The sequence below is a fragment of the Homo sapiens genome, chromosome 15 (genome assembly GCF_000001405.40).
Source record: "Homo sapiens chromosome 15, GRCh38.p14 Primary Assembly".
NCBI lineage: Eukaryota > Metazoa > Chordata > Mammalia > Primates > Hominidae > Homo > Homo sapiens.
The window spans coordinates 27,664,912-27,688,337 of NC_000015.10; the positions used below are offsets into that span (position 1 = coordinate 27,664,912).

Consider the following 23,426-nt stretch of genomic DNA (forward strand, 5'->3'; position numbering starts at 1 on the left):
TTTCTCTCAGCTGTAGCTGGTGGTTATTAACAAGCCTGAAGAATCTTAGATGCCAGAGGTTACATCACAGTCCCAGTAGATTACAAAGATGGTGAACAGCTAAATCGGAGGGTATATGCTTGACAAAAAAAAAAAAAAATCAAAACTTGCCTCTTTTGAGGGAAATTCGGCAAAAGGCTCTAGCAAAGTGTTTTGCAATTACAGTGTGCTAACCAGTGTAGCAGTGTGGAGAGCAGACAGTAGGTCAGCATTTTATTCATGAAGCTTGCTTATTCAAAATAACAAGCAACTTCCTTCCTGCAAAACAGAAAAAACATAAGCATCAGCAAGCTGCCGGCCACATCCGCCTGGCCTTCATCTGTGGCTGGTGTGTTTTTGCTGTGGGTTTTTACTGATTACTCCCTTTTTCAGGGAGCATAAGAAAAAAAAAATGTCTGTGTGACCTCCCCCTATGCTATGCGGTAAAATTATTTGCTTCCACAAACTAAATATTTCTTCATAGCTAGATAGATTTTATTCTAACAAATAAATTCATTTTAACGTAACTTCATCACATAACTCACCGGAATGCAGCTTCAGAGGCAGTGCTGACCAGAATGCAAGCTGAGTTCGGTACCAAACAGAGCAATTAAATCTAAACTTGCTGTAACTATAAGGTAGCATTATTTTAAACAAAACAAACTCCTTATCTGAGCATGTGCATGTGAATGTGTAATACATGTCTCCCACATAAATGTGTTTTATATTTTACACAGCGAACAGATGACTAATTGATTTTCCGTAATGATTACTATTGCTTTCTCCTAACTCTGTTTGAAGAGGGCCTTCATTATTTTTCATTTCCTTCCCTTTGACATTATTTCAAAGTCTTCATGTTCCCTCTGATGCTGCAGTCATCAGACATCTGAATGTCTGCTACTGAATGGCCCCAGGTGTAAGAAGTATCTTTCTACTTCCTCAGACCGTCTTTCATCCGAGAGGGTGTGGTAGTGACTTTTCCCTCTGTTTGGCATCTCAAATGCTCTCCTGAGGCTCATCCCGGACTGGCCAAGGAGAGATCCCTGCTGGTTTCCAGGAGTGGGGCCTGAGCTGGACTTCCAAACCACAGCAGTCCATCTGGGCAATGGAGCCCAGATATTTGGTCAAACAGTAGCCTAGATATCACTGAAAAGGTGTTTTTTAGATGAGACTAACATTTAAATTTGTAACTTTGAGTAAAGCAGATTCCCTTCCGTAATGTGGATGGGCCTCATCCAATCAACTGAAAGCCTTAAGACGAAACAGACTGAGGTCCTCCGAGGAAAAAGGAATTCTGCCTCCAGTCTACCTTCAGACTGAGCCAAAGCATCCATTCATCCTTGGGTCTCCAGCCTGCCTTTCAAAATTTGGACTTAACAGCCCCCACAGGTGCATGAGCTAATTTCTTAAAGTAAATCTATCTACCTATCTACACACATATATATGCAGGCATGTGTGTATATATACATATATATGTATATGTTTACACATACTTACGCATATGTATGTATATGATACCTACAGATATGCATAGGTATAGATATGTAGATATAGATTTATTTTAAGGAACTGACTCACAATTATGGAGGCTGGCAAGTCCAGATTTTGCATATGTGTACACTTATACACATATATGTGTGTATATATACATATACACCTACTCACATCCGACACCAGAAAGATGGGTGTCACCCTTTACTCTCCCTACAATTCCCTGCCCTGTGGGTCCCTTTTCATAACTTTCCCTTGAAACCAAGCCTGTTTTCCATCCCCTGTGGGCACCATCCAGTTTCAGCCTCAGCCTCACACACCCTCAACACAGTCAGACACTGCTTGTTGCCATTGTTATGGTCAAGAGATCATAGCTGAGGAGCTAAAAATTATATACACTCAAAATTATATATAATTATATGTATTATATAATTAGAATGCATATATGATAATGAATATAGGATATCAACTCCCTGCATGTGCTTTTAAGATGAATCTAACATCTTTAACTCAGCTCAGACCCAAAGGCCAGTGCCTCCCTTCAGCTTTCTCTCTTCCACACCTTTCGTCTGTCGCAGCTATGGCAACTGTCTTTCCCCCTAACCCTAGCCATGGATCTTCACAAAGAGGTTTATTCTAACAAAATGTCTTTTCCTGATTCTTAGCTACCTACCTCCTACTCTCAGTCCAAGCTTTTGCTTCAGCCTTCCGATTTCCAAGGGCTTCGTGTGCTCCCTTCACTAGTGCTGTCCACCTGGAATATGCCCCGGCAGGATGTCACACTTCTCATCTCATCTATCGTGACGAGATCACCAGCTGCCTTCCCCACTAGTCTTCCAAAACCGAAGATATGGCTGTTTCCAAAGTGTAACAACAGCAACCAGCACAAGGTCTGACATAGTGTAGACTGTAGCCATGTATTAAAACAAATTAAATTATCGTACGGGTGAATTACAGAACTTATGTGACTACTCACTGTATACACTGGGTTTGCACATTCAAGATGAGCTTAAAAAATAACTAGTTGTAGCTTATGGCTAAAGAATAATAACAAGTAAATAATAGCTATGATTCTCATGTCTGTGAGATCTAAGTCACATCTTTGTCCCAGCATTCTACCCATGAGAAACAAGTGGTAAGTGTAATGAACGTTTCTATGTGAAAAAAATCAGGAGAGAAGATACTGATTAAAATGAGGATAGCAAACTTATGTTCATTTCATTAGATCATATGGATTAGAATTTTGCCTGACTCAATATTTTATACTAAGCATCTTCTCCCTGAATAGTTATATAATTTAAGCCATAGTAAAACCTTAATAAATAGTTGTCAGTATTCATTAGAATTTAATTCATGCTTGTATTCAGAACAAGCAATGGATAGTTTTAAAAGACACCATGAAAATAAAGATAACATAACACAAAGTCATTACTGCAGATGTGTTTTCACTCCAGGTTGGAAGCACCAAATAAGATCCATACTCACAGACACTTCTCTGAACACACTTCTTTTGAGGTAAATAGACCACAAGCACTAAACACAATTTGTATTTGAGCTATGTAGTTGGGTTGATTTTATAATTAAAAACGTGCCCCCCACTGGTCTTTATAAGTTCTGTAAGGGCAGAAACTCTGTATACTTCCCTTATCACTGCACCCCTGGGGCCTCGCACAGTGCCTGGCACACCGCAGGTGTCATCCATTGTTTGTCTAATACTATGAATAAAAATGGTTTCCAGATTGTGTGTGTATAGATGTATATGTGTGTGTGTATATATATATATACATATATGTATAAATGTATAATTAAACAATGTCACAATAAAACCCTACTTGCTTAAGACCTAATTGCCAAGATCAGCAAAGCTAAAGGGAAGAGTTTGTAGAGAACTTGCAACTAGCACTGATTCTCCTGGAGCAACCATCCCAAACCAATGAGACCCAAACCTACCAAGATGCTCACTCTCATTTCTCCTTCTCTCTGTTAAGATTCCCTCTTAGCTTTTTTTCCTTCCACAGGCACAGTGGCCACAAGCAGCCTCCAATTTAGGATGATCCTAAAGACAAAGCCCATTTTCACTCTCTTAAGTTTGAAAACTATCAAGACTGTGATTGGGCTGGCTTGGGTCGTGTTGGCCATAGAAATGGAGCACCCTGATCAGTGTGACCAAGTGGGGTGTGGCACTGTGGGCAGCCCCAGCGTAATCAAGGAAAGTCAGATTTTCCCAAGGGAGATGAGATGCATGACAGAGCCCAAAAGGCAGTTTCCGTTGCATTCCCCCTTCATTACCAGAGTGAGACCACAGAGTAGTGACCCAGCGCATGGAAGGGCAGAATTCAATCAAGCGAGGAGGGTAAATGTTCACAGAATAAGCTACAATGGGTGCTTAACTGATCCAAAAAGAGTAATGTGCCCTTTAGTATGGAATAAGTGACATTCTGACCATTCATAGTCCTCACCTCAGTCCTCCATCAAGTAAGTGAGAAAATCTAAATATCCTCCTTGAATCAGCATTATGATTCTAGCCAGCCATCTCTCTGGACGGGGACTGACTGTGGAAAGTGCTTGTCATCACTTGCTCTGCAGCCCTCACCAACTCTCCTCTGACTTAAGTGGGATGTGGTTTCCCTGGAGCTGCTCTCGACACTGAGGAACCCCTCCTTGATCCCCAACAATGGGATTTACACGAGCAGGTCCCCATTGTCCTCTGATGAAGGCAGTACGTTCTGACTTGGGCACAGACATGAGACATTGCATAAGAAGCTCACCTTGGTTGACAGCCTCCAAAATGATAATTTCACTGAGGCACCGTCTTACCAGAAAAATGGATTTTAATAGGCTTACAATTTTGTTTAAAAAATTCCATCTTATTAATTGTGAATTAATGATAGAGTTGTTGAAAGAAAAGTGAAACATGGAGAGGACAGTGGTTCAAAAGGAAAGAAGATATATTTGTGGCAATTTTCTGAATGATGGCTTGTTACAGCCAATTCAACATGTACTGAGGACCCAGGACACTTACACACCCTGGTCATTTGAGCAAATTATTCTCACTCCATCTTCTTTGTTCTGGGTGGCTTCTGTATGTCTCAGAACACTGCTTCATTAGCTATTCTGTCTCCACCACATGAATCTCTGATGCTGTTCATATGTGCTGGGCGCCACCAAAAACTGGCATCACTACTTTGGGAAAACTTTCAGCAAAATAGAAAGCAGTGGCCACTGCCACTGCCAAGAACCGTGAGGTTTTCATCAGCGCATTTCTGACCTGGAAGGTAGTTGTATTGATAATGCTCTGCCCTCTTTTGAAATTTGTCGGGCTGTATGGAGTCCTGGATATGGAGAAACAGAGCGCTGGGGCACGTGGTTATGGAAACAAGCGATGGACTATGGACTGACTCACTGGCATGAAAGGCTGGCAGTTCTGCTGCACATGTCTACTGCACTGAGCAGTTGAGTAAATGGATGACAGAGGGTGGAGCAGGGAGGTTACCAATAAGCAGCGGGGAGCCTGGAATGACCCATGTGGGTAGGAACAGATTTGAGTCACCGACATCAGTATGAATTCGTGTTTACTTCAGTATAGATACCAACGGCTACAAAAGTGTGTATAAATGTGTGTGTGCATGTGGTTAGTATGTGCACATACATTCCCTTGTTCTGTCAGCTGAGAAGGCTCAGAGTCAATGACACCTAAGTAGGAATGAGCATAACTAGTGCCCAGACCTTGGTTTCTAATCGCGTTCTCCAGTAAAAGGAACCAGGGCTCCTTGGAAAATGGCTGACCATAGGCCTGGAGCAGGAAATGTACAAATGAGCCTGGAGCACCTTGCAGCCCTAGAAAGTTTTAAAAGACTTAAAAAAAAAAAAAAGATGAAGTTATGTCAAAGCTACACAGTAGCTAACTGGAAGAGAGCTCTTAATGGCCAAAGCTGGAACAATTTGAGCAACAAAATGGTGTTGGATTATATTTAAAATAAATATCCAGGAGCCATAGTGATATGAAGGATTACACAGATTAATTAACGGTGGAGAAAAGACAAATTTCCTATGCAGGAAAGTTCCCAATAATTTATGTAGCTGTTCCACCCTCAAGCACGTGGAACCTAACTCCCCACCCTTAAATGTGGGCCACACACAGTGACGCCCTTGCAAAGATTACAGTACAGAAATTGAGTGGGTAAGATTACCCTTATAGTGGAGAAAACAGACCATCAGTACTTCAGCCAGATAATTAATGGCAAAGTCAACAGTGGAGGGTCACGGGAAAGGCCCAGAGAATAGACTGTGTCAGGGACTCGTTCCAAGCCAGCGTGTGTTCTCAACTAAAAGAGCTATTTGCAGCTATAAGGCTTTATGGGATTCTGGTTCATTTTCTTCCACTGACCTTCTAAGGAAATGCGCTGCCAGCATACACGGACTGTGAGGAAGGCCAGTTCCTGCCCAGAGCATGCCAGTGTTTTCCAGACTTACGTGGCTCCTCAGGACACAGACAAGTGACCCCACAACATGCCAGCATTGTGTGTCCACAAAAAGCAGGCAGCAGCTTGGACTGAGCCGTCTCACTCTTCTTCCCCTAAGCAGGGTGAATCTGCACATCAGAACCTGGGTGGGGCGAAGATCTTGGAAGAGCTGCCCCAAAGTCCCTGCGGGACATCATCACCCCCTGTAACCTCCAGACACTCCAGAGGGGAACAATTACTGCCAAATGTGCCTAAAACCATTTTCAGCTTTGCAAATCATAAAACTTCTTGATATTATTGGTCTTGAGACCATCTAAAAACAAATCCCAAAATTGCATCACATAGAAAATACAAACAAAAAAACAAAGAGCATCATTTCATAGTAGCACAGGGAAGTCATCCATGACTAAGTCAACTCTTTGCAAACACAAGGGCAATGATAATAATAATAACAACTGCAACTAATACCTGCTGTTGCTACATTATGAGTTTTTTATGTATTACCCACTCTATTTTTAGTTAATTCTTATAAATACCACACAAGGGAGGTATACTTTATAAGCATATTTACCGAGGAGGATGCAGGATTGCAGAGGGTAAGAAATATGCCCATGGTCTCACTCCCAGTGAGCTGCCAGGCCAGGACTCGGGGCTCGGTGTCTCTGATTCCAGAGACATGAGGAATCTCAACTCTGCACTCCAGCTGTTCCAGCCAGTCATTGGTTGATAGCAGTAGGATGTTTCATCTTCTCAATGTTACAAATATCATCATACATGACTGGCTAAAAATGATCAGAAATGAAAACGTAAAATACATTTTGATACATAGATAAAAAATAAAAACACAGATAGAAAATGTGCTCCATGGTGTATTACATTATCAATAGTTGCATCACCAGTGATTAGGACTATTTATTTATTAGAGAGTTTTCTGCAAATTTTTGGTAGCCAAATCCCTGGTGCACGACTTCCCAAACCAAAAGCATGAGAGAAAGAGCAGCGAGAGATGGACAGTGACAGCCCCATCCTTCCTGGGCTCCCACGCCTTCAGCTGCTGGCCAGAGCCCTAACATGTGGTTCCTTTTGTGGAAATAAACAAAGTCCACCCAAATGGAACAAGCAGAGGCTATTTATTCAGCGCTTTCGAGACCAAGGGAAGCAGCCTTCAGCACCTGCATTTGTCAGAGACTCAAAGGCAAGCAGAGGAGTGGGAAGGCAAATTGTGAAAAAAGAGAAGGAGGGATTCCGGTGCACCCCGAGTGGGGGCTGTTGGTGTGGGGAAGCTGGAGGCAGCCCGCTAGAAGCAGGCATCTGTGCGATTGGCAGGCTTTCTCCAGTAGGTCCTGAGTTGGGGGTGGGGTACAAAAATCAGGGAAGCTGGCGGTTGTGAATAGAGCCCTGACTGTTCTTGGCTGCTGACTGCAGAGGCTGTGGCTGGCTTTCCGGCCTGGTTGCTGCAGAGGTTGTAGAGCTGGACTGTTATACATAGTCCAGCCCTGTCACTTTGTATATTCGGTTTCTCATCCAGGTAACCTTCATGACAGACCAGTATCGCTCACCTTTCTCGAGGCTGAGAGTGAGGGAGAGTACGTGGGGGTGCATATGGAGGAAGTACAGGGCTCTCCTGGAAGTCAGAGAATAAGAATAGAGCAAATACTAAACTGAATAGAGCACATGGTCATGTGCTCACGTGCACATGCACACGCACGCACACACACATATGCACATGCATGCCCATACACGCACACGCATGCACATGCATGCACATGCACACAGATGCATAAACACACACACATGCACAAACACACACATGCACATGCATGCCCCCACACACATGCACATGCACGCCCATACACACACATGCACATGCATGCCCACACACACACATGCACATGCATGCACACACATGCACAAACACACACATGCACATGCACATGCATGCACATACACGCATATGCACTGGTGATCCTGTACTGCACGGACAGCCCATCTACCCATCCCAGAGGCCTCCTCAGCACATGCAGGGAAAAGACACATCTTCCCACCCAATGCAGAATGCACCAACCTTCTCATAGGCTTACTCAACACACGGAAAGGTGACATTTCTCTGTGGAAGCCTGGAGATACCGCTTAAAATGAGCCTCCCCTCTCCCATGATCACCCTTTTCCAATCAACAGGTGGCATTGTGGTTCATAAGACTTACAGAGCTATACCTGTTTGCAAAAAAAAAAAAAAAAATGATAAGTCGCATTCCTGTAATTAAAGGTCGTTTCTATTTCAATCTTCTCATCCATCAAATGGTAAATAATAACAGTGACGAGGAACAATCAAACCGCCTCCAGGGCTACATGGACACTGGGGTGTTTTCAGGCTTCTGCTTACATTCCAGATTGTCGGTCTTTCTTTCCTTCTGGGTGTTTCCAGGCCTCCACCTCAGAGGGGAAGAGACTCTCCCACCTGTTTGCTGCAACATGTCTTCTCTCAGAGATGTGTGGCTGTCATTAATCACCTGCGTCCACTTCCCCTGAGGGACTCTCTGCAGGTCTTCAGCTCTGAAGGCCCACGCTGCTTCCAGACCCTAGGCATAACTAAATCACCCTTGACTCTCTCCTGGGGGCAGGAGAGGAGCCCATCCCCCCAAGAGTCCGAACTCTCCAGGCTTTGAATCTTCCTCCACTTTCTCTGCTTGGAGGATCTTACTGAGCTACCCCTGCCCCCAGTCGGAGAGGTACATTTTTCTGAAGCCTTTTTTTTCCTTTTGAGACAGGGTCTCACTCTGTCACCCAGGCTGGAGTGCAGTGGTGTCATCACAGCTCACTACAGCCCCAACCTCCCAGGTTCAGGCAATCCTCTTACCTCAACCTCGTAAGTAGCTGGGACTTACAGGCAAGTGCCACGATGCCTGGCTACTTTTTAAAATTTTTTGCAGAGACAAGGTCTCACTATGTTTGTCAGGTTGGTCTCAAACTCCTGAGCTCAAGTTATCCTCCCACTTCGGCCTCCCAAAGTGCTGGAACTACAGGCGTGAGCCATCATGCTTGACCTACTTCTGAAATCTTTGGGTCTGAACAGAGGTCACTAAGACCAGGCTCACGGGCTGACGCCTGTTTCTGTACATGCAGTTTGCCAGCATACAGTCACACGCATGTGTATCTGCACCATCCATGGGTGCTTACAAGGGACAACAGCGCCTGGGCACTGGCAGCAGAAACCAGCTGGCCCACAAGGCCTAAAATATTTTCTGTCCAGCCACTTAAGCAAATGTTGCTAACCTCTGGCCTAAAAAATAGGTGTAAGCTTTTTATTTTTGAACTGAGAAGTCATCTTGATGCCCTTTCCCTTGGCAGAGAAACCGAGTTCATCAGAGACCAGCCCTGATGGCCGCCTTGGTGCTTGAGTGAGTGAAGCAGAGCCCCATGCTCAGCCAGGTGCCCGTTCTCAGCGTTAACCCGGCTGCCCATTCCCTCTGATCACTTGTGGTCAGCCGACTCCGCACACACTTTCTAAGATGCCTCTGCCTTGGGCTTAACCTGCTGCCACGGTGGATTGTGGTTCCCCTTTGCCATGGATGGAATGTTTGTGTCTCTGCAAAATTCCTATGTGGAAATCTTAACCCCCAAGTTGATGGCGTTAGGAAGTGGGGCCACTTGGAGGTGATGGGTCCTGAGGGTAGGATTAGTGTCCTCATGAATGGGGATTAGTGCCCTTATAAAAGAGGTCGCAGGAGCGTGGCCTTGGCCCTTCTGCCATGAGGAGGCAGCTTTTCTAGGAACCATGAAATGGGCCCTCACCAGATACCAGGTCTGCTGGCTGGCACCCTGATGCAGGACTTCCCAGCCTCCAGAACTGTGAGAAATAAATGTCAGGTGTTTATAAGAAGCCCCATCTATGGTGTTCTGATATAGCAGGTTGAATGGTCTAAGACACCCTTTGTCACATCCTTCCTTTCCTCTTCCCCCTCTGTGGGCACAGCAGAGCCCGCTCCAGGCCATGACTTTGGGCCATGAGATGTTTGCAGATGGATGTGGCAGAAGCTCGAACATGCATCTGCCCAGCCCAACCTGCAGATCCCGAACTCGGCTGGCCTCAGACGCAGGGGAAAAGTAAACGTTGTTAACTGCCCGAGGTTTGGTGGTGGCAGGCTCACAGCATTATTGTGGTACCAAGTACCTGACAGAGTCCACAGCATCTTCCTTCCACATGAGCCCCTTGGTCCTGGCACTGCCTGTGATACCCTGAGAACTGTCAATGGCTGCTTCTCCAGCACCGCATCAGCCAGTCTCCCACCACACTTCCTAGGCACATGCGCAAGAGCACGACATAGAGACAGAGAAGAATTCTAAGAACACTTTACAGACAACGTTCCAACCTGAAAAGTAATTGTGTAGCCTGCAGTCTGGATAAATGGATCAAGGTCTGTTTCCACAAATAAGCTTTATCCCTTTGGAAAACAAAGACAAAGTGTGACTGTCCTCAAATGGGTTTTGGCTCCAAGCTTAATCATCAGGATTCACAGAAAAGACTGTGCAGTGGCTAGGCCTTTAGGATGAAGATGTATTTTATTACCATTCAGCAAATAGAGGACCATGCACACTTATGACTTCACTTGTAGAGAAGTAAGGTCATTTTCCATTTCTGAATCTTTTACAAAGGACAAACAGAGTTTGTTATTAAATTGCATTTGCATATGTCAGGGGTTTGCATGGCTCATGGGATCCCTGTAGAATTTACATCAAGAATGGGTATTTTTGTTGCTGTGGGCCCCAGGTCTTTTGTCACTAACTTGACAAGTCACAGACACCTTGAGAGGTGACATGAACATCTGAGCTTGCTCCGGATTCGGCCACGTGTGAGCTGCGTGTTCCAGTCCTCGAGGCTAACCTGGCCTGTGCCTCATGCCTCATTCCCAGCACCGTGTGAATGGGAGCAGTCGTATTCCATGGCTGCTGGAGGCCTGGACTTCTCATGGATAGGTGTGAAGCAGGGCAGTGCAAGCCAGGGAAATAGTACCCACTGTTCTGCTTCCGTGTGAGGATAAGAAATAATAAATACAGCTGGGAGGGTGGGAGAGGCTGCTTAACAAATACAAATCACAGCCAGATGGAAGGCATGAGTCCTGCTGCTCTGCACCACTGGAGGGTGAACTTGGTTAATTATAATTTATTATAAATTTTTGAAAGCTAGAATCGAGGATTTTTGAATGTTCACAACACAAAGCAGTGATAAAATGTTCGAGGGGATGGATGTGCTAATTACTACACATTGATCACTACATATTGTATACACGCATAGAAACGTCACCATGCACCCCAGAGACACGTACAATTATTACATCTCAACTAAAAATAAAAATAAATAAATAAAAAGTACAATGTGCTACAACTGTCCCGGACACCTAGCACTCGCTTAGTAAATAGCAATAATTGTTATTTTCCTCTGAGTTTGCTAAATTGTAAAATTCATCAGTTATATACCCCTGCTCCCCATACATGATAGAGCTCTGTAAGGATGCAATAGCAGGTCTCCAAACACTTAGAAAAGCTGCTCATACTTACACAGGGAAAGCCCTGTCCCTGAGATCATTACTCTTCAGCATTCTGGGACCATCATTTTTAGAACAAGACCTGCATGGTTCTGAGTAGGCAGTCTGGCAGCACACGCTCAGAGCGGTCCTCCAGCAGCTGACAGAGTCCTGTGCCTGCTCCCAGCCTCATGCACAAAGGGAGCACGTTGGAATTGTATTTGTTGAAGGTGCTTCCAGCACTAAGGGTTGGGGATTCTATACGCTCATCAAATGCTAAGTGAAGTAGTAGAGCAACATCCATGCTGACCGCAAACCCTTGTAGTGCTCCCTTGCCAAGTTCCAGGTGATGTGCCTGCAGAGCCCGTCCGTCTTCTCAGTGCTGAGTGCCCCGGAAGGCACTGCGGCACACCTGCTGACTCAGGGCCACCCTCCTCAGGGATGCCCCAACCCTGGACACTGAGGCCTGGTGACCTGGTGACAGGCCTCGGTCCAGGACCAGCAGAGACTGAGGATGGAATTCCAGCTGTTCCCAGAGTCCTGGGTCACTCATGCTGAACATGCTCCCTTAGGACAGAGAGGCTGGACAGGGATAACCTGTCACTTGAGTTCCCCACCGGATTAAGACGCAGCCCTTTGTTCTCCCAGAATGTAAGGCAAATGCCAAGGACACCTGCTGGCTCTGTGTGGCCAGCTGCCCTTCCCAGGGTTTCTGAAGGTTCCTGAGCTGCTACTTCCAGCCACTGTGGACCCCAGACCCCACCACTCCAGCTCCCTCCAGCCCCGCAAGGCCTGAGACCTGCCCAGCACTCTGAGAAGCCTTGTGTGTTTATCTTGTGGCTTGAAGAAGAACATGAAAGCACCTGTAGGGTCGTTGTGCCTGGGCTGTGGAGAGCTGCTCATGGGCTCGCTAGAATCTCCTAGGATGACTCCTACCTCCCCCTGCCCTGGGGCATCCCACCTCCTACCTAGACGGGGAGGGGTTGACCGTGAGGAGCCTGGGCAGCTCAGCACCGCCCCACCTCGCACCTGCCAACATGCCCCTCTGCTTCTGCTTCATGGGCTCTGTGATGGATCTGGGAACCAGAGTCTGCACCAGCCTGTGTCCGCTCCAACACACAGAGGTAACCCTTAAGGTGCAATCAGCATCTCCCTGGATTCTTCTTGTTTGTCTTCCTCCACTTTCTCTTAGCCTGACATTTTTCTCAGCTCAGTTCTTTTTCATGATTCCCCAATGTCCTGTGCATTGACAAGAGCCATTCCAAACATGACTTTTGAATGGGGTCTTAAATCAACAAGCGACATCTCACAATCAGGCAAACAAATTGCCCTGAGCCTCAGTGTCCTCTCCTGCAGCCTCTTTGGACACACGTTGCTGGAAGCAGTTTGATCCTCCTGCCCTCTGCTGTTGGGTGGTGGTTACCCATGCCGGGTCTCCTCCCCTGTGAAGAACAGCCTATCTAAGGTTAAGGTCAGAGTCGGGGAGTCCCCACTCACTAGCTTCCTCGTCAGGTAGGTCCTGTCCACAGTCATGCTGGCCGTACACACTTCATACCCGTGTGCTCTGGGAGTGGTACTGATCATCACATGCCCACGAGAGAGGGACAGCACCCACGCGAAACAGGAGCCCGCAGACACTCAGGCTGAAGGCTCAGCCAAAGGCCCAGCTCCAAAGCCCACACTCTCCTCACAAACCTTCTTCCACTAACTTCCACTGTGAACCCAGGATCCTCCTCACCTTGGAGACTTTTGGGGGTCTCAGCCAGGGAGCAGGAATCCTGGCCTCTAAGCTTCATCACAACCCACCCTGACCTGGCTGGGGAATCCTGGGAAGCCACTCGCCAAGCTTCCCAGCAGCCCACCAAGAAGACAAGACTCATTAAAATGTTTAATCCTCTGAACACCCCAAACTGTTGGTGGCTTTTCCTCAATCTTACAGAAGCCATGTGTTTTGGAACTGAATTCAGGTCAGGGGTCAGTCCAGCCGCATGGACTCTCCTGCTGTGAAGCTGGGTGTATTTCAGCAGTTCGATGCTGGCTGTCTTCTGCGGTCCTCATCTTCTCCTCCCTCCTCTCTGTGCACTTAGATGTACACCTTGAATAGGAGGATATCCCAGCTGCTGAGCTACAGAACGCTGGCGCCCCAGAGACTGGGGATCAGCACGCTTGACCAACAGCAGGACTCTCTCCTGAATTCTTTACTGATCCACAAAGTGACAGCTTCAAACAGACCTGTTCTGGTGTGTCCACGAAGGCCAAGTGCTGACACCCTGAGCTGGGTTGCCAGGGCATGGTTAGAAATTAACTTTCATAAAAGGCTACATCATGATTCACATACATTCATCAAATAAAACATGTTAAGAAATTTATTTAATTCATTATCAATGAGAGAACTAGTAAGATCTTACAACTAGTTACAAGGAAGGAGAATCAGACAACCCATGCGTGTGTAGGTCTGGAATAGGTAGGGGAATGTGCAGATGGAACCACGCTGGGCCCTTCCGCCGTGAGGAGGTAGCCAGCAGAGCCTCCACAGGACTGAGCTCACCTGGCTGCAATGGAGTCATCTCTCTGCATTGCTGTCAGTTGTCTGCACCTTAGCAAGTTGTGAAACAGTTCCCTTAGAACCAGAATTAGATACCCTGGAAGGCTGAGCCATAGACAGGGCACAGTTCTCCTCAAGCATGTCTTTTCTCTCCACAGCCGACAGCACCAGCATCCGGATCCTCCTGGGGCCCCAGACTCCCTCCGTCTGCAGCAGGGGTTGTGGCCAGGAGTTTGTGCCTTTCTATTTAAAAAAAAAAAAAAACTCCCAATTACTTGGATGGACACTAAATATTGGGGGAACACCTGACCTGCAATTTATATTCACAATCTCTTTTTCAATGTCCCTCTCTCTGCGAGGCCAGGTGTGCGGTGTTTTAAGAGGGTGGCAGGACAGGGATTCTGTCCCCCTCCTCAACATGGCCTCTGACCTAAGGCCTGCAGCCCCGCCAGCAGAGATAGAGATCAAGGGGCCATGTCTCTGCAGCAGTCCACTTTGAGACTGAAAGCCTTCCTGGGGTGCACTGCTTTCGCTGATAATGTGATCAGCCAGCATTTAGTGGGGGCTTACTCTTTTCTAAGCCCTTTCCTTACACTATCTTATTAAATCAGCATAACATCCCTAAGAAGTGGTTATTGTTACTATTATTCCTATTTTATGGATGATGAAACTGAGACCCTGAGAGGTAAGACAGATGGCAAAGATAAAAGTATGAATTCTATAGCACCAGAGCCGTCAAGGGATGTGGGTTTTCTTATTTAGATTATGTTTGTCCTGGGTGAGAAGGGCCTCCTGAGAAGATCCATATGTGCTGGGGAGAAGCAAAGGGAAGAGTCAGGAAGGGGTGGGGGGTGGGGGTCGGCAGCCAAAGACAAGCCTTTCACCCGATGCCTGGGAACACAGCCAGCTTTTCAGGGGAGGAGTCTATCCGTCTATCCTCTCTGATTATCTAATTGCTTATAAAAAGAAGACAAGAGGGCAAGAGACCATGAGCCCGGCACACCAAACAGCAATCGAGCTGCCCCACGCACACACAGTCAGAGGGAGAAGTGCCCCAGCAGCTGATCAAATACAAATGGCACAAACACAGCAGCCAGAACACCCGCTGCCTGGCAGGCCACCCGCTCATCAAAGACCAAAAGATTCAGAGAGCCTGCAGGGTTTGAGCTATGTCTGTTTTTCCAAACAAATATCCCTCCCAAAAGCATGTCTTCCAATGACCTTCAGTTCAAATAGTGATTCAGAAGAGAAGAAAGGCTGTCAATAAGCAAAAAGCACACTGATTCCTCCAACCGAACGCTCTCTTTCCGAGGAACCAAGGAGCGTGAATAGCAGAAGCTTGGTGCACGCGCCTCCGGAACACCTCAGCTCTCTAAGGAGCCACTGGCCTCTGTCGGAGTGAAGCTGCCAAATGCGGTTGTTCTGTGCTGAACGCAGCACCAGGGAGAGAAGGGAAGACGTTTTGCCTGCAAAATAGGCACTCAACACATTTCTGTTGGGGTAATAGGAATTTATGATAATTGGGCCTACAGGCTAATCTTTATCCTGCAGGAATTGCATAGATTACCCTAGGCAATACTTTTGTGGAAGTGAATGGATAAAAGCTCCCTTTTTTTCAGTTCAAAAGTCAGGTTTTTATAAGTTCAGTGCTCAGACCTCTAATAGACTAATATAACCCAAACAGAAGTCCTTTCTCCTCCGCACACAGCCTTTCCATGGCTTGTTCTTTGAGAATGTTGCTAAAGTCTAGGTGTCTGGTCTATTCTCTCTCAAAATGCAATGCCATTAGAAGAAAGTGGTGTGGATTTCTAGCACTTTCTTCTCCAATTTGAGCCTATATATATATATATATATATATACACATACATACACACACACACACACACATATATATATATACACACATATATATATAAAGAGAAGAGAGAGAGAGAGGTGGTGGGGTGAGAGCATCTTGCTCTGTTACCCAGGCTGGAGCGCAGTGGCCTGATCATAGTTCACTGAAGCTTCAAATCCCCAGGCTCAAGTGATCCTCCTTCCTCAGCCTCCTGAGCAGCTGGGACTATAGGCGTGCACCACCACATCGAGTTAATTTTTTTTATTTTTATTAGAGATGAAGTCTCGCTATGTTGCCCAGGCTGTCAAAATATATTTTAATGAACACCATAAATGCTTTAAATGAGCTTTAAGAATAAAAATGACTTGTAGGTGCCCTGACCCAACTGCTACCTGTTGTGGCTTCCCCTCCCCACACCTCGTACACAGGCTTGCCGCCAGGGGGCAGTAGGGGCTGTTTTGGCCGGGCGGGTAGACAAGAGACAGGACCCCAGCAGTGAGCTCGTTGCAATGGATTTGCTAATATTCTAGTGAGCAGTGCCCGTCTAGTGGAGTCTATTCACAAAGCACCTTTTTACAGATGACCATTAGTGAGTTCTCATGACATCCCAGCATGTCCCAGGGTTGTGCATTTGCTCACCCACGTGTCTGAGCCACAGCCCCCAGGGAGGGTCCCCTCCTCCCACCCGCTGCACTGCTCCCGTCGGAATTGCTCATCTACGCATGCCTTTGCTTCTTAGTATTATAGCAATAATAATAAGAGCTAGCACTTATATCAATTTAATATATCCTAGAAATATGAACATTTTGCATGTATCCATTTTAAATCCTCTAAACATCCCTTTAAGGTAGGCAATGACAAGTTTGAATTTTCTCTGCGCTCCTAGAAACCTCATGGTTAAGAAGTCCCCTGGCCTCTCCCTCATCCTTTTGTTCCCAGGAACTGGCTTACTGCAAAGATCTACCCTTCCCCATGTGACTTCACTGAGACTCTCAAATGCCCCTTTGTTTATCTGGGATAAGACCCTCATAAATGATTAGCTGGACTATGTCCCCACTCACCAATCTGGACAAAATGTCCAATAATTTGACTTGGCCAACTGTAGTCAGGATTCTGTCCTAGGCACAGAGGCAGAACCACCCTCCTTCATGCCCACTGAGAACATTTCCTGCTCGATTGTGGGATCACAACACCCTCTCACTCCTCCCACCATATCCTGTTCTTTCCAGCCATACCTACCCCTTCCTATTAAAGAAAATCCCTTTCTTTCTGGCCTTTGCCACACTTGCAGGTCTGATGGACGAAGCATCCCCCACAGCAACAGCCCCTCCCTCAATGGCATTGGTCCTTTTGGATAAAGTCTCTCCTTACCTGAGTCTGGATTCCTGATTGACAGTGCCATTATTATCCACCCATTTACAAGTGTATAAACTGAGGCACAGGGAGGTTCCATACTTGCTGAAGTCCAGAACATGCCCGTCAGAGCTGCAGCCAGCCTCGGCCCTTGTGCTGAGCTGCTCTGCTGTCACCTGGCCTGTGTGTCATCAGCCTTTCCATCCTTCAATCAAAAGAGAGGAAACCTAGTCTATCCGCTTCAACCTCAAAAGAATTTCAGGCCAGAAATATGAGTGTGCGGCAAAGAGGCTGAATCACTGAGACCCTGGGAGGGATCAGCTCCCATTCAAATTATGAGAGCTAAAATAGAATTTGCTAATCTGAAAAAGAGATGAAAATAGGCCACCCCATCCAAAGTAAAATACTACCTTGCGTTGAGTATCTCACTTGAGAGAACTTACATTCTTGGAAACTCTTTGGGAAGATCAGTTGTTAGCAAGTGCTTTGGTTTCAGTGATGGTGTCCCCTCCATCAGTCAGGTTGAAACTTAATTCCTATCATGGCGGTATTAAGAAGTGGGGCTTTTGGGGAAGTGATTAAGTCTTGAATATTCTACCATCAAACATGGATTAGCACCTTATTATTTTTTCTTTTAAGTTCTGAGGTACATGTGCTGAACGTGCAGGTTTGTTACATAGGTATACATGTACCACAGTGGTTTGCTATACCTATCAACCTGCCATCTAGGTTTTAAGCCCTGCGTGTGTTAGCATCTTATTTTTTAGAAAGAGCTGGAGGGAACCAGCTTAGGCCCTTTCTGCCCCTCCACCTTCCAGCCTGTGAGGATGCAGCTGAGAGAGGAGGCCATCGATGAAGCAGCCCTCACCAGACACCAAACCTTCCAGCACCTGCTTCTCAGACTTTACAGCCCCCAGAGCTGTGAGAGATACATTTCTGTTCTTGCAAATTACCCAGCCTCAGGTATTTTGTTATAGCAGTATTTTGTCATAGCAGCTCAGACTAAGGTAGCAAGTAATAAATATAGTCATATGCACTATATTCAGACTCCATATTTGCAAATTGGCCTGCTCACTAGGATGTGTTTGTAGCCCCAAAAATCAATGCTGGCAGCACTTTCACAGTCTTCTGAGGACACACACAAAGTGGCAAAGAATTTGAATTGCCTAGTGGGCAAGTTCCCAGCTGAGGCAGCGCAAGGCCTGCTTTCTTGTCTCCTGCTGTAAACAAATGTCTTTTCCATGGTCTGTGTGGTGCCCTGTTTCTCGCACTTTTGTGCTTTTTGGTAGTGATTTTTCTGTTTAAAATGGCCCCAAACATAGGGATGAAGTGCTGGCTAGCGTTCCTAAGTTCAAGCCTGGTATGTGCCTCATGGAAAAAATACAAGTGTCAGACAAGCTTCATGCAGGCACAAGTTATAGCGCTGTTGGAGGCGAGCTCAATCTTAATGAATCAACAGTATCTCTAGGTTAAATATAGTGTCTTTCCATAGAAACACACTCAAAAACGGTTATGCATTGACTGCTTGACAAAATTCTGTGACCAAAGACTTGCAGGCACCAGACCCTGTGTTTCTCTAAGAAGCAATAGTTCAGTATGGGCCAATGCAGTGTTCCAGGTAACTTCATAGAGCATAACAAGTCCCAAGAATCAAAGGAATTTTCCATATGTTTTATGGTCTTTTGTAAACTCTGACACCTCTGCTTTATGAATTTCAAGGTAACTACAAGTTTTTTACTTATCAACTACCAAGCCAGCTATTTGTGTGAGGGGAGGGAGGCTTTAGAAAGAGGTGGTGGAAAGGCGGAAGCGAGGCAGTTTAGAAGGTGCAAACCACCCCCAACTAACGCAACATTGCTCGTTTTGATGCTTTGACATCTGCTCTGAGAAAGAACAGCAGGTGGACCTACGGAAGAAAAGAGATAAAAATTCTCATTCCTGAGGTTTTCTTAGTATATGATATTCATCTGTATCCCCAGTTTTTATTTCAAAGTTAATGCACGTATTCTTAGAAACTAAATTACTTGCAAGAAATTCTGGCTACAAATATAATCCACCATGACCTCCTGTTTTTCCCAAGTGCTAGCATATTCATAGAAACTGTTACCTGCAAGAAACTCAGGTTTAGAACATAAACCCGTGTGTACACCTGTGTCCCCACATTTAACTCCCTGTAACTCCCTGGCCTCAGCTGGCAGACCTGTACAAAGTTCACCAGCTTTGCACCTGGTTGACGTGCATCTGCGAAGCCCTCACCTGTATCCTATGCCTGCCTGTCTTCTTCTTTGTGCCTACTTCCACCCATCTTTCCCCTAATACTCACACTCTGTCCCATAAAAGTGGTTTTTCTCCTGGAAGCAGCTTTGAAATCAACACCCCCCAGCTTCCAAGCATCATGCAGCATGCCCTGCTGTGGACTGAGCTTAGGCTCTGCAAAAGAAGGTCCTGTTGCATGAGATGTAATAAAGGTGACATTGGAGTAAACAGTCATATGCTAGACCAATTTTCTGTATATATGTTTAAGTCCCATCTGTAAACCAAAAATAAAATTCTAAGCCACCCGATAGGAACAGACCCCTCTTCTCAGCCAAGGGCATTCCAAAGTTAACCTGAAAAACTAGTTCAGGTCATAAGGGGAAGGGGAAGCCAGACATGCCTCATTATACCCTCCTCCTTTTTTGAACTACTGATAGGACAGACTCTTTAAGTCTGATAAGAAACATTCACAATCTACTCTCTCTGAAGTCTGCTACCTGGAGGCTTCATCTGCGTGATAAACCCTTGGTCTCCACAACCCCTTATCTTGACCCAGACATTCCTTTCTATTGATTCTAAGTCTTTAGACAATAATTTAACTGTTTCAACCAACTGCCAATCAGAAAATCTTTGAATCTACCTATGACCTGGAATCCTCCACTTCCGGTTTTCCGGCCTTTTCAGACCAAATCGATATACACCTTGCATGTACTGACTGATGCTTTATGTCTCTTTAAAGCATATAAAACCGAGCTGTAACCTGACCACCTTGGGCACGTGTTCTCAACATCTCCTGAGGGCTGTATCACAGGCCACAGGTCACTCATATTTGGCTTAGAATACATCTCTTCAATTTTACTGAGTTTTAATCTTTTCATCAACACATCTGTAAAACTTGATCCTGTCCTCTACAGACAAAATTATATCCATAACTATGAACTCCACCTAGGTTTTTACAGCATAATTTTGAAAATATTTCTATCAAACATCCTTTTAAATTTTTTTCCTTATGTCTGATCCTGTTATGCTTAGCATTTGTTCCAAAGGAACTGGAGCCAGTCAGCTCTAGTAAATTCATTTGTGCTCTTGCTTGTAAAGAAAGGGAAAAAATAATAATATTCTGTAGGCTGAAAAGAGAAACAGGAACTACAGATACTTACATTTGCGGAGATAGCAAAGGAAAGGTTACCAACATTTATGGAATGTAATTAGGCTGTTGAGTGGATACAAACCTACCCACTCCACAGGCCATCAGTGTTGACGCTGGTCAGATGCAAGTGGAATAATTCACACCAGAGGTTTATTTCCCAAGGACAAGCTCGCCCTTCACGGTACCTTCAGGTAATGGCCCATTAGTGGCATTCAGTCTTGGCTGAAAGGAAAAATCAGAAAGTGATGGGTAGGCAGTATTTTTCACCCAAGCTGACAAGTGGACTCAATAAATGTCTGGGAAATGCAATGGAAATTTCAAAGGAAAGACAAGTGAAGGCCAAATCTGAAATTCCAATTTGAAATTACCTAGCTGTCAAACCTGGCAGATAGTGCTTTCTCACATCGCCCTGCTAGCTCTCGGTAAGAAATCCTTTATTCCAGGAGGAAAATCACTCTTGTCAGCGTACAGGGCTCTCAAGTTCTTGTGCTTTTCTGCAGCGACACCTAAGACTGGCACGCAGTGGAGCGTCCACTGCAGGTGGCTTTGAGGGGCTTCTCTATGCACTTTCAATGTGTTTTCAGAGGCCACTCATAGCCGGTCATAAACTGTGAGATGCTAGAAAGTTACTGAGAAGCAGAGCTAGGATATCCACCAAGGCAGTGTTGGGCTGAGAAAGTGATTCCCTGAGGACCAGTGCTTTGACACTGAGAGGCCTTAGAAGCTGCCTCAGAACCAAAGTCCCTCTAACCTTGTCTGGTCCTCCATCCCTAAGCACAGGGAGGGCCTCCCTCTGCAATTTCTTTATTTGACCAAAAAAGCTTCTTTCCAAACAATGCAATTGTCTTAAACCCCCTCCCTAGGGATTTATCAAATAACCTAGAAAGATCAACCATCAAAGGAGAAGAGACTGGGAGTCCTCCCTGCTCCTAGACAGACTTAACCATCTATTCTCCCGAAGGAAGCTCTTAGAGTCTAACTGAAGGAATTTATCTGCATAAAACAACCCTCGTTCTTATGAGTCATTGTCTGAGTATTGCGCCTATTCATTCCCCCAGCTTCCCTTCCCCTATAAGAAAAGGTAAATAGGTTCCTGCAGCATGCTGGGTTACTGGGGGATCATTCTCCTGAGACTCCCCATGCTGTACATGTTAAAATTTTGTAGATCTTTGCTTCTACTAATCTGTCTTTTGTGAGTTGATTTTCAGAAAACCTTCAGAGGGCAGAAGTTTTCCTTTGGCCCTTACAGTGAATTTCCAGTACACGGGGTGTGGCCAGGTCCTGCCAGCGTGGAGGGTGCTGTGAGGCCAGGCCTGCCACCCAGCCCCGCTCTCCCTGGAAGAGCACGAGGACCTGGGCTTCCCTCTGACCCTCCTACCCCTGGTCCAGTGTGCCAGATGCGTTGAGCTTGGAATAGTAAAACTGGAGTGATCAATAGACCTACCTGGCATGGGTGCAGGTTCAGTCAATTCACTCAAACACCTCAAAGTGTTCGTGAGGTGGGCGTGACTTGGAGGAGTTTGGGAGGCTGGAGGGGGTGTGGACAGGGGCAGCCGCAAGAGCTGGGGCGGGGGCTTTAGACTGTGTCTGGCCAGGGAGAACTGCATCAAATGCAGACGTTCGACAGGTAAAATCGATACACACTGTTTTGATGGGAAGAGTGCAGGGAGCTGGCCACCCCCTGCCTGGCCACCCCATTGCTCTCCACAGAGCCCAGGGCTCTCAGCACACAGCATGACCAGTGTGGACCTCCACCACATTCCCATCTGGCCAGAAGCATGGTCTTGGACCTCACATACATCCCTGAACTTTGGTCTTTGGCCATTACTGACCATTGAGTCTACTTGTCCTTCCTTTTCTGGCCAGCCCAGGAATCACAGAGAGAAATCCAACTTCTGCCTCTTTTCCAGAGAATCCCTGCAGATGCCCTCCCCTCCCATCTAGTTTAATAACACGGAGTTGGGCAGGACACTATTAGGGGAGTGTTCTCCAGAGTGGAGTGCTGGATCCCAGGGAGGTAAGACCACTCACTCAGTGGGACATTCCTGCTTATGAGAAATCTGGTCACAATAGCATATGTTTATAATTTGTAAACACGTGCATATGTGTGAATTAAAGGCTCATTGTCAGAAACAGTTTACAGGATGTACAGGTGCATTATCAGGCATGCCTGATCAGAAGAATCTAGATGCTACTGAATCAAATCACACTGTATCTAGTGTTATATGTGTCTTGTGTCCATTCGGGTTCCTATAACGAAATTCCATAAGCTGGGCAGCTTATAAGCAACGGAAATGTGTTGCTTACAGTTCTGGAGACTGGAGAATCATAGTTACAATTTCTCAATCTCTGTCTGTATTATCCTCTATTTAAACACCTGCTTCCTCCCCCAGGCTGTGAATTCCGTGAGGTGGGGTCATTGATTTTGCTCCATGTCATGAGCCCCTAGCCCACACCTGGCATGTCGTGGTGTCCATATAAACACCTTGGAAATGGGTGAATTTGCCGTGTGTGAAAAGCTTTAAGTGTTTATAGCTGCCATAAGCAATGACTGGTTGGTGAGCAAAATTCAGGTTCCACATTAGAAGAATAGAAACCAGCTATCTTTATGGTCAGCATCTAGTGGTATTAAATTAAGTTTCCTGGTTAACACTTGGGTCAACAGGAGAATGAGAAGGCAGAGTAGGTCCAGAGAGGGACTCGAGGGCAGAGGCAGATATGGGCCTCCCAGTTCCAGACACTCCTGTAGATACTAAGGATACAAGCTTGTCCTTCAGGGGTTCACAGTCTA

The 23,426-nt window shown here is 45.8% G+C and overlaps 1 annotated feature.

The window, feature by feature from the left end:
• Positions 21,648 to 22,627: an enhancer, noted in NCBI's record as "H3K27ac-H3K4me1 hESC enhancer chr15:27931705-27932684 (GRCh37/hg19 assembly coordinates)". NCBI's record gives its function as "activates a minimal SCP1, AML or CMV promoter by ChIP-STARR-seq in primed H9 embryonic stem cells {active_cell/tissue: H9 hESC(primed)}" and the evidence as "EXISTENCE:reporter gene assay evidence [ECO:0000049][PMID:30033119]".